The 12,243-nt window shown below is 35.2% G+C and overlaps 1 pseudogene across 2 annotated transcripts in view; it reads right to left on the reverse strand.

Moving 5' to 3' along the window:
• Nucleotides 1-12,243, reverse strand: part of GUSBP14 (GUSB pseudogene 14) — a 162,716-nt pseudogene that overhangs the window by 6,065 nt on the left and 144,408 nt on the right. Inside the window, exons 9-10 of one of the 2 annotated variants that reach the window (NR_029426.1) lie at nucleotides 8,805-8,919; nucleotides 5,336-6,194 (exon numbers count right to left, since the gene is read on the reverse strand). The product of NR_029426.1 is annotated as a GUSB pseudogene 14, transcript variant 1 (transcript). Of the gene's footprint in view, nucleotides 1-5,335; nucleotides 6,195-8,804; nucleotides 8,920-12,243 lie in introns of those variants that run through there. The other variant, NR_024054.2, reaches the window with a different exon arrangement.

Raw genomic sequence — 12,243 nt, forward strand, 5'->3', positions numbered from 1 at the left:
AAAATATTATTAGAACAAATTAACAAATTACAATTACAATTATCAAATTAACAATTAGAATATAGTAGCACCATCATTCTAAAAATTTAAATTTGATATAAATATACATTTCCATATCAGCCTAAATTTACAAAGTCCTATAATATGTAGGATATAAGGTCAATAAGTTAAGAATTCCAGCCTTAAGGACAATTTTAAATTATAATTTTTATTCCTCAGTCACCACTGCTAATCCTTCAATTTATTTCAAAGTAACTTCTGGTTTTTATTACATTTGGAAGATAAAGCAACTTATCACATGTAGGTTACAACTTAAAATTCGTGTATGAGCCATTGCTTATATTTTCTAAATCTGACATGACCCAGGGGGTTTCTACTGCTCCTACCACCACCCAGGACATGCGATGAAGATTGTGCACGCTACCGTGAGGGCAGAAGCAGGTTAGTAGCTGTAGGAGCTGTCACATGGATTTACTATAATGCACTTGAAATTGTGTATGTGACCTTATCAGGCATTTAAGGACCATAATCTCTCCTTGACCTAAGAAATCAGCTTGAAGTAATTCACTTAGATTTCAAATTTTAATGTGGATACCCAAGGCTGCAAATCTGTTATTCAGTACCTGCTACACTTTTGGGGTTGCCTCTTTTATGCACTGTTAGAATTGCTAGAAATTTAGAAGTCCAATTGGAAAGAAGCATATCTTGTTAGAAAGTATTCCCAGAAAATGAGGAAGGCTACATTTTAACTGTGTCTTGATTTTACAGGGAGAAAAATAAAGTTAATATTTTGAGGAAAAAATAAGGCTTTTAAGATGACATGCTATATAGTAGACAAATAGTTTAACTCGGTGCCTACTTCATGTACACTGGATGTGTTAACATGAATTTATGACCCTCAGTGACTTTTTATTACCAAAACAGCTTCCTTAAAGCAAACACACACACATGCCTCTACAGTATTGGAAAATTCCGTCTCCTTAGATAAAACAATTAGGATTTTTCTTGGGCCAACTAGAATAATTAGGGCTGCAGAGTTGGAGCCTTTATATAAGGAGTTTGCAGCTCATATCCGAAGAGAGAAATGTATTTGGAAAGTCAAAAGTGTAGGTAAGTGAGAAAGCAGAGTAGTTTCAGCTTTTGCAGTTGGAGTGGGTATAATTTACTGTGTTGTCATAAGATACTGGAAAGATCTTTGGAAGAATAGGTTCTTAAAGTGTTTTCTCATGTGCCCTTACTGACATTTCCCATTGGGCCTTCAAGACAACTCCAGTAAATACTTAAATTGATTTTCAGTGCACTGCTTTCTTTCATTTTTATTTATTTATTTTGAGACTGGGTCTTGGTCTGTTGCCCTGGCTGGAGTGCAATGGCCCAATCTTAGCTCACTGAAGCCTTAAATTCCTGGGCTGAAGAGATCCCTCCACCTGAGCCTCCTTAATAGCCAGTCATGTGCCACCCTGCCTAGCTATTTTTTTTTTTTTTTTTTTTTTTTTTTTACTTTTTGTAGAGAAGGGATCTAGCTATGTTGCCCAGGCTGTTCTCAAGTAGTCCTGGCCTCAAATGATCCCTCCACCTTGGCTTCCCAGAGCACTGGGATTACAGTCATGAGCCACCCTCCTGGCTCCTTTTTTTTTTATTTTTAATAACAGAAGGGTATTTCTTTTGAATGTGAAATTTTACCACATGGTATGAATTAGTCCAAGTGTTTTTATACTAAATTTACATAATATACACTTTTCAAGTAAGTACAAAGAGGTATAAACACTGCTTATGAATTGAATGTTAAAAAATAAATCTCTATGCATTACTTTTGTCTTTCCCCATAATCTCACGTATACACATAAAACAAAAAACAAGGAGACCCAGTTATAGTTGTGGTATCTGCTGTTTCTGCCTTGAAATTTCCAGCTTACAGCTAAGCAACAACTACTGTGCATCCAGAACTTACATCTATGTTCCTAGAGTACTTGAACCCCATTCTCAAGTGCACCCTTCTTACCAGGTGGAAATAGTTCACTGCTGTAATAATCTAAGAAAACATTATGTTTCTCTCTACTTTTTTTTCTCTCATATAATCTAGGCAATTCTCCCTCTGTATCATTTTCCTGAGAAAACTAAAATAATTTTTAATCAAGACCAGATGGAACTTTGTATGGTATATTGACAGTATACCAATTGTTGTGACGAATCTTACTGCCTGTTGTAGATATCAGTGTTTGAAGTATTCCCTATGAAATAACTTTTCTGTCCCAATAATTGAGAGGGCTGTTTCATTTCCAAAAAAGGGAAGAATTAATCAATTAAAAATACATATAGTGAAATAACCTGTTTTGTAACATAAAACATAAGATGAAGAAATATCGGAACATTGATATGAAGTTTAACAGTAATGGATTATATATCCAGAAATATGAACAAATAAACCTGCAATGAAAATTTACTAATGTTACTAATTTTCACTTGTGTAACGTGAACATTACAAAGAACATAGTGTACAAAGGGAGAATGTTGGTGGGTAGGATGAGTCAAGATTTCAGAGGAAAATCAATATTTAAGACTTACAGCACTGTGGAATATATTTAATTTTCCTAAAGTTGAAGAAAATTTCAGTGAATCTATGAATTGTTTAAGACAAAGGTCACTCCGTTACTGACTTCTGCTACATCTAATTTTCCAGGGAAGTAATATTTAGAGATAAAAAGCTTTTACTCTGACCTCCGGAAATTACTTAATGATCCAGATACTCCCAAAGTCAAAGCAAATCCTTGGAGACAAGTTTGGACTTTATGAATGTGGACTTAATTCTTTAAGATCACTAGAGCAACAATAAATTACAGGAATGTACCCTCTTTATATCTGATGATTATGCATAAGTGGGGTGTGCAGTTTTAAGTTACTTTTCCTACAGTGCTGACAGGTTTAGAGTGTTAAATCCATACTCAACTTGTATTATCTTCCTCTGCTTGAGCTATGCCACCTTGAGTCAGCTGATTTGACTATTTATAATTAGATACCTAACCTATGATATGATATAGTAGATGTCAATAGTGACTCATGATTTATGTAGTAAGTCTTACCATTTTCTAAGCAGTAGTCAGGTGCCATGTGATCTAACTAAAGATTTGTATTTCTTATTTTACTTAACAATTACAGTAACCCCAATGCAGTATTATTCACTGTTGGATTTTTTTTAATGTGAAAACTTAATAACCCCTGTGGATAAGAAAGTAAGAATGATTCTTAGGTGCTTTAGGACCAAATTAATCAGAATTTAATATACCACTTTGTCTAGGTGTCATGGCGGCTAAAATATCTTTGAGAAAGTTAAACTTAGCTTTCAATCTCAGATGATCTACTTAAGAATTTGGAAAGTTTATATTATATTATTTGAGAATGGGGATTCTTGCTTAAACGAAACCTGAAGGATGGGCATCTTTCATTCAATATCTTAAAAAGAAAGTTTAGCTGACATTTAAATAAGAAAAGATACACCTAAAATAAAGTAGAACACTGGTTTAATAAAAATAGTGAACAGGTACTCCCTTGCCTTTCTATTTTTCTCTCAACTCTATTTTATTTTACATGAAGTTTGGGGAGAAATGCTAAGATGAAATTTTTGGTGGAGTCTTTCAGAGGTTATTTAACCAGAGACTATTTTCTTTTTTCTTTTTTTTTTTTTTTTTGAGATGGAGTCTTGCTCTATTGCCCAGGCTGGAGTGTAGTGGTGCGGTCTTGGCTCACTGCAAACTCTGCCTTCCAGGTTCAAGTGATTCTCCTGCCTCAGCTTCTCGAGTAACTGGGATTACCGGTGTGCACCACCGCACTCAGCTAATTTTTGTATTTTTAGAAGAGATGGGGTTTTGCCACATTGGCCAGGCTGGTCTCGAACTCCTGACCTCAAGTGATTTGCCTGCCTCGGCCTCCCAAAGTGTTGGTGTTAAGGACATGAGCCACAGTGCCCAGCCAACCAGAGACTACTTGTTTCGTGGCCATATTTAAACGGTCTAAGAAGGAAAAGTGAAGACTGTGTCTGTACTTTACATTAATGAACTATTACAATTTAGAAACATATATAAGTCTCCACACTTCCTTATTTTCACAAAAATGCCATAGAGAGACAAATTGAAACATAAAAAACTAGATATATTCTCTCATCCCATGAGCCAGCCATGGAAACAGAGAGCAGCTCAATTAGTAGCAGAGGAACAGGTGAATTATCATCCACTTCTATCTATGCCCTAAAAGCAGAGTTTTCTCAGAAGCTTGAAGACAGAATGTTGACTATTTATTTTCCACACATAAAGACATTCTCCTTGTGCAATCAAACTACAATGTTTAAAATCAGGAAATTTGCATTAATGTATTATTATAATCTAATCCTTCAGCCCTATTCAAGCATTAGCACTTGTCTCAATAGTGTCTTATATAACAAAAAGTTCAAGTTCAAAATCAAACATTGTATTAAAATGTTAGGTCTGTTTAGTTTCCTTTAATCTGGAACAGGTTCATATTTTTTCTTGGTTTCCGTGACTTTAATATTTTTGAAGATTTCTGCCTAGTTATTTTTTAGAATGGCTCTCCCATCTTGAGTATGTGTGATGTTTCCTCATGTATGAATGAAGCATATACATCTTTGTCAGAAATATCCCAGAAGCAATTCTGTACTCTCCTCATTATGTTCTATTGGGTGGGCCATGGTTTTTGATTTGTCTCATTACTGATGATGGTTACTTTTATTATTTGATAAAGGTTGTATATAACTTATCTATTATGGCATAATACATTAGCTAAAACCTTAGCGGTGTAAAACAGCAGATACTTACGTTTCTCATAGGAATGGCTCTATTGAGTACCTCTGTCTCAAGGCTTCTCAAGAGTTTGTAGCTACCTTGTTGGCTGGGGTTGCGGTCTGATCTAAAGGCTTAGTTAGGGGGTGGTAGAAATCTTCCATATGTTCTTTGCTACGTGGACCTCACAGGCCTACATCATAACGTGGCAGCTGGCTTTCCTCAGAATGAACTACCCAAAAGAGAGCTAGACAGAGAGAAAACCCTCTGATTGAAGCCATAGTCTATTTATAACCTAATCTTGAAAGTGACATCACATCCCATCTGCCATATTATACAAGTAAGTGCAACGCGAATACAAGAAAGCCGGGATCATTGAGGGCTCTCCTACAGTCTACCTACCACTCTCTATACTCTGGCTCTCAATGATTCATGTTGCTCTCTCATGCAATATATCCTCATCCCCTTCTGAGGACCCCAAAATTTTCAACCCACTATAGCATCAGCTCAAAGTCCAGAAGCTTTTCATCTAAATCAAGTCCAGATGGGGAAGTGATTTTGGGTTTAATTCTTTTTTTTTTTTCTTTTAGATTTTTTTACTTTTAGTTTTGGAGTACCTGTGCAGGATGTGCAGGTTTGTTACATTGATAAACATGTGCCAGGGTGGTTTGCTGCACCTATCAACCCATCACATAGGTATTAAGCCCAGCATGCATTAGTTATTTTTTCTAATGCTCCCCATCCCTCCCCTCCACCCCCCATCAAGCCCCAGTGTGTATTGTTCTCCACCCTGTGTCCATGTGTTCTTACCGTTCAGCTCCCACTTCTAAGAGACAACATGTGGTGTTTGGTTTTCTGTTCCTGCGTTACTTTGCTAAGGATAATGGCTTCCAGCTTCATCCATGTCCCTGCAGAGGACATGATCTCATTTCCTTTTTGTGGCGGCATAGTATTTCATGGTGTATATGTACCACATTTTCTTCATCCAGCTTTGTGATACTAAAGAGGCCAGTTACTTACTACACATTCACCAAAAATACAGTGGCAAAACAGGAATAATGTCTCTAGACATTCCTGTTGAAAAAAATGGGAAAATGCACAGACTAAAAGAATGATTGGTCCACCACATTTTAAAATCCCAGTGGTAAATGTTGCAAGTCATTTGATTATATTCAACGCCTGTGAATAATTATTCATGCCTCTCATCTCTGACCTCTAGGCTCTTCGTTCTGCCTTTTGAGTTATTCTTTTTTTTTTTTCCATGAAATACAGCTGGTACTTGCAATAGTACTTGGGTGTTGAACTTGTTAAGAGTGCATATCCTTTTTTTCAGATCCATCTATCATTTCCTAGTTGTATGTGGTTGTGTGGGTTATTTCTCCTCTTTTACATTGATTTTCTCACCTGCAAGTGAATAATAGTAACACTTTATGAGCAGGGTTATTGCAAGTAGCAAGGAGAAAATATATATTTACCATTTGCCACAATCCCTGGGGAAGTGCAGTCAATACATTGGAAAGGGTCCTCATAAGAGTTTGATGATCATTCTCAGAAAGCTAGCCAGAGAAAGTCTAAATGGTAAAGGTTCCAGCTCATTATCTTCTTCCCTTTTCTCAAGTTTTCTCTCCATCTGACATGTGAGCTCAGTATTTACCATTGCCCTTTCTACAAATTTAACCAAGTTTATTTAAAAACATAATGACCTTCTATCCCAATTTACATTTTCTTTGGTGTAGAGGACGCCTTTACCTTGATGTGTGGAGACAAGCCGTTGATTTGTAAGAAACACCAATTATCAGCTTCCACTTGTGCTTCACAATCTGCTGAGTCGCTTTAACACTTTTGATGAAATTGAGCAAGGCCTTGTGATCTCTCCTGTGCCAGCCGTGAAGTGTCCACTGCACGCAGCTTGGCAGAACTATTTTCAGGGCCATAGGATGTTATGGCTGTGTGGGCAGGGAGCATTTTATTCGTCTGTTTGATTCCTATGTTTTTATTAGTGGTGCAATTGCAAAGGTAATGCTATTGACACTTTTTGTGTAGCCTTGAGAGAAGAGTATGAATTGTTTTAGTAGCAGCACAGCGTGTCCCTAAATATAAATCATGCTGTACTGATAGTTACTTTAGCAGCCACTGATCAGCAATAAATGTTAAAAATTAACAAGAAGTTTCTTTTTTTCGAAACCGCCAAATGACTCTAAGCATTAAATATATTTTAGCCGGAGTTGCTTCTCGGCCACAGAGTGGTTCACAACATTAAACATATTTTCAAAGTATTACTCCTTCCCCAGCCTCCAAGTGGTTGTAAACATTAAATATGTCTTATAAAAACTGCTTTGCCAGCTACTGGCAAGACAGCTATGAACATCATTTTTCTTTAAAGTTGCCTTCCAGCTGCGGGACTATTTTTCCTTATTTGCTCTATTCTATTTATATTTTGTACACAAAAGCAGGCAAGAGGCTACATTGGCCCAATTGTCTCTGGCTTTATGATAAGTGATCGTGGGAGAGCAGTTGCACCTCCGTAAAACCCTGCTGGCCACAGGAGCTTGCTGAAGTTCAATCACTGATACTGAATATTTCATATAGATGTCAGCTGTGTCTTCCAAAATAATTTTTGTTTTTCATTGTGCAATGTGTTGAGGCATAAAGATGGGCATGCATTAACATCAGCATTAAGAAAAATAACTTGAAGCAACCAGACACTGATGAATTATACCCACTGATTCAGGTGAAAATATTCCGTGAAGAGAACAGACTCAAATGGCAGGACTAGTATGTTAATGAGGTCTTTAACCCAAACATGATGAAAGACTTGGAACCTCTGTCTGGAAATCATCCAGTCTGACAACTGCATGCGATTCAAAAAGAGTGAAGAGTATGCTATTACATAAAGGTCTATCCAGGACTTAGAGCAGGAAATCTTTTCATTTTAACCAAATTCACAGTGAAAATAACGTGTGTCCCCTGAGTGAATTGAAAAATAAATTAGCTCTATCATCTCAGGCACAGTAATTCATCATCAGGCCAAATAATTAATTACTCAGGAAGGCTTTGATTTCTATGGGAGCCAAGTGTTCTCCAAATTGTGTAGTACTGTATCTTGCCAAATGTTTTATTTTAGGTGTATGTTCAACAGGTTCCAATATTCATCAATACCTACGTGACAGGCACTATTTTAGGTACTGGAGCTAGAACTTGAGCAAAAAAGACAAAAAGTCCTCCTCTCAGGAAGCTTTTACTCCAAAGGCCTCCTGCAGGGGCAGCAAGCTAAACTCTGTGAGCTAAATTCAACATATCATCTGTTTTTATTGGAACAGTTACACTTATTCATTTCTGTGTTGTCTATGGCTGCTTTCACACCACAATGGAAGAGCTGGCAACAGAGACCATATGGCCTGCAAAGACTAAAATATTTACTATCTGCTCCTTCACAGAAAAGTATGTTGACCCATTACATAGTGGATTGAGTTTGAGAGAGGAGATTAAGGTAAGGCCAACATTTTAAATCGACCTATGAGGAAAAAGTGTTTTTTTTCTCCCTAAAAATTACCTCTTCCAAAAGAAAACAAAACACAAAAAAACATAAAAATAAAAAGAAAGAAAATGGCAAGACCCAAGGTAAAATGAAGGGTAAAAGTGAGCACCACACTAATACATATGTATCAGCGTGAAATCAGATGCTGCCATTTAGTTCCTGCTGAAAGTGTTGGTTTGGCTTTATTAAAATAACTTAAACACAGTCTTTCAATGTTATAGACTCATGGTAAAGGTTTCTTTTTCCTTTTGTGAATTTTTAAAAATTTCTCTGCAAAAATTATTCCTCACACAATTATGTAACTTTATATTTTCGATTAAAACTAAAACTAAAAATGTTGAAAGAACAACTCGATATTGGATTAAAATATTCATTTTCCATCTTCATTCTCAGGATTCATATTTGGTTGCCTCATTGCGATATAAGTATGTTGAAAAAAATGGAAAATTGCTGAAAGCAAAAATTTTAAAACTCACCAGTATTAATAATTATCACCAAATAACTATTACAGAAAACTTCCTCAGAAAGTAAAATTAGAGTGAAGGTATCACAGGTTGGCACTATTTTCATTCCCGACCAAGAAACTGACACCTGAAAATTAAAAAAAAAAAAAATCAGAGTCTACAGTTTTACAAATAATTAACAAAATGAACATCAAAATAGGGTGCAATTTGTTTAATTGGCAAAGGCACACAACGAAAAAGAAATATGTCAATTAAACTGTCAACCATGTTAATTTTGCCTCTGAGAAAAACATTGTAATGGGATAATTTCACGAAATGCTTTGATGACAAGAAAATGCCAAAATATGATTAGCTACTTCAAAATTCAGCTGAAACAAGAAAGCAATTGGTGGCAGCCAGAATAACCAAAGGTCTTTTTTTTAATATACCTTTTTCTTTCCGTCTCTTTTTGCCTGTGTTTAATCAACAGTGTACATTTTGTTTGACAGTGAAATGATTCATAATGAAAACACTGGCATCACAAAAACTTAGCAGAAACTTTGCTATAAGATTAGAGTATACACTTCTATTTTCCCCAAACTCTTTAAAAATATAATTACTATTTCTGAAAGAATTTGTTATCTTTATGAAATAATGTATTTTTCTTACTAGCATTAAGTGCTTATTTAGCTAAAAGCCAGAATTAGAAGCAATTCACTCATATGAGTATGTTTATATTTATATTGTCAAATATATTTACTTAGAATTTAAACCAAGATATATTTTATTTATTGTTCTCATCACTGCCTGTTAGTCAGAATGGATATTTTAAATTTTACCAGGTCATGTAAATTTTACTACCTATATTTCTTATTCCTGTTTGTTTAGAAAAATAATCTAGTCTATACCTAAGCTAACAAATAATCCTAAACATTGAAAATACACACATGATTATGAAGAATTCACTTTCTAATAAGTTTCAGCTTTTTACAAATGGCTGCTTAAATATAATGCATAAATATGACGTATTTTTAAAAATACATCTTGTTTATGCATTACTTGAACCATAACTAATCCCCATTTCCAGTCAAAAAGAACACTGTCTACATATGTTAATCTCTAATACAACAAAAGCAGGCTTAGCTTAATGGGAAACTTATTAGAGTAAAATAGTTCTTTTTATTTTGTATTTTATTTTATTATTACAATAAGAAGATTATAATTTGGTAACCAGCAGGAGAAGAAAGACTTCCAAAGATTATTTTATGGGTCCATGTATTTGCTTTTCCTGAGGGTAACTAGTGCTAATTCTAGAAAGGCAGAATGCTGTAGGAAAAACAAAATAAGCCCTGGAGTACAAAAGATTTGGATTCAAACTTTGAAGAAGGATGGGGAAGTGTTTAGGAAAGTGCTTCCCTGTGTAAAACTTAGCTGGTAAGTACCGTATTTCACTGAAATTGCTGTTATAATAATTGAAACAGATTATTATTGGAAAAACAACATCAGCAAAACTAAACCCTAGATGAGTTTAAATAAGTGCCAGCCATTTTTCTCCTGTGGGGATTTAGAGTTGAAGTGGGTATCTTCGATTACTTTTCTTTATCCTCATTCTTATTCTTATAATTTTTCCTAATAAGTCACCTAAGAAGGGCATTTAAATAAGTGCTAGCCTTTTTTCTCCTATGGGGATTTAGAGTTGAAGTGGATGTCTTCAATTACTTTTCTTCTCTATTCTCGTTCTTATTCTTATAATTTTTCCTAATAAGTCACCTAAGAAGGGGATTCTAGAAACATCTCTTTCCAAGAATACATATTGTTTTAAGAAATATCAGTTACCCCAAATACTTGAATAGAAACTAGGAAAACAGGAGAGGGAGATTATAGGTGTAAACAAGGAATTACTGTGCAGTAATATGTGTAGTGGACGTGAAAAGTAATGACTTAACAGTTTGAATACACAAAGATGGACCAAACAAATACATTTATTTCTCCTTTATTCCAAATTGCCATTGAAATAGGAAAATACAGTACTTATTAAAATAACTATGGAAAGTTGAGAAGAATTCTACCAACAGACTAAAGAGTAAGCAATTTCTGAAGGACATAAGTCATATCAGAGGCACTTTAGTCTTTGGCCATAATAGAATTATTGGAGGGACTTGCCTTTTCACTATAAACAATGATAAAACTGGGCAACATATATGAGGAACCAGATTTTATGCATCAAACAAGAAGTACAAGTTTTTCATACTCAAGAGAGAAGAAAGCTGTGAGGTAAGTACCACATTTAACCAGAGAATGTGACTAGGGGCACTTTTTCTCCCATTAAACAAGGAGGCAGACTCTAAAAATAATGAGTTTAGAGGAAGAAATTAAAGCTTAAAGCTCTCATTTTGTAGGTTGTCTGCTTATTTGTTGATAATTTCTTTTGCTATGCAGAAGCTCTTAGTTTAATTAGGTTCCAAAAAGAGGTAGGGGTAGAGGGACAAGAGCCAAGGAACTTCCTGTTAGGTATTCAGTTCACTACCTGGGTGACAGGATCAGTGGAAGCCCAAACAGTAGCAGCAAGCAATATAACTTTGTAACAAACCTGCACATATACCCCCTGAATCTAAAATTACAATTAAATCTCTATCTATATCATCTCTCTCTCTCTCTATCTATCTATCGATATTTGTAAATAGCTTACACTTGCTTAAGTGGTTGTTATTTAAGAGCTGCTGAAGTGGCTGAAATTTGTATAGGAAAGGAAAAAGAGGCATGGGGTAGGCCTACAGAAGCCAGAATAAGTATTTGGCACCAATTTCGTCAAAAGCTGCTCTATACCTGAGCAGGGTTAACATCTGCAAGACCTGCTGAAAGCAGATACTGTGGGAATAAGATATCAGTAGTAACAGGACAAGGAGATGTTTGGGTTACTGACTAGCCACAGGGAAGATATTTTACGGAATATTCCAGGCATTAAGAACAAGGACTATTTCTTTCAGTAAAGACTATGTCCTATCTTTAAGAACAAAAATGAAAGAGATTTTCATTAACAAATAATGAAACCAGGCATGGCAGATCAAAAGGATCTGGAAGCCACTTAACAGCTTTCAAAGGACTATCTTAGGGCCTTTTACAAGAAGACAACGTCTAGATTTTCTACAGTGTATTAGTCAAAAATACAAGTTACGCAAAGAAGCAGGAAAATTTAATAAATAATCAAGGGGAAAAAAGCAGTCAATAGAACATACATCATAATGACCCAGGCATTGAAATCAACAGATATATATTATGAATATGTCCTTAGACTATGGAGATATTGTCACAATGATAGAACGAAAAAGGTAATTTTGAGAAATGAACATTGTTGAAGTAACAAGTGCAAAATATACAATGAAAGAGTCACTGGCAGGGTATACTCTCAGATTTCAGCTATCTGAAAAGCAGACAAATAACCTTGAAAACCATTTTTGAATTTATCTAATCT

This window comes from Homo sapiens, chromosome 5 (genome assembly GCF_000001405.40).
Source record: "Homo sapiens chromosome 5, GRCh38.p14 Primary Assembly".
Lineage (NCBI taxonomy): Eukaryota > Metazoa > Chordata > Mammalia > Primates > Hominidae > Homo > Homo sapiens.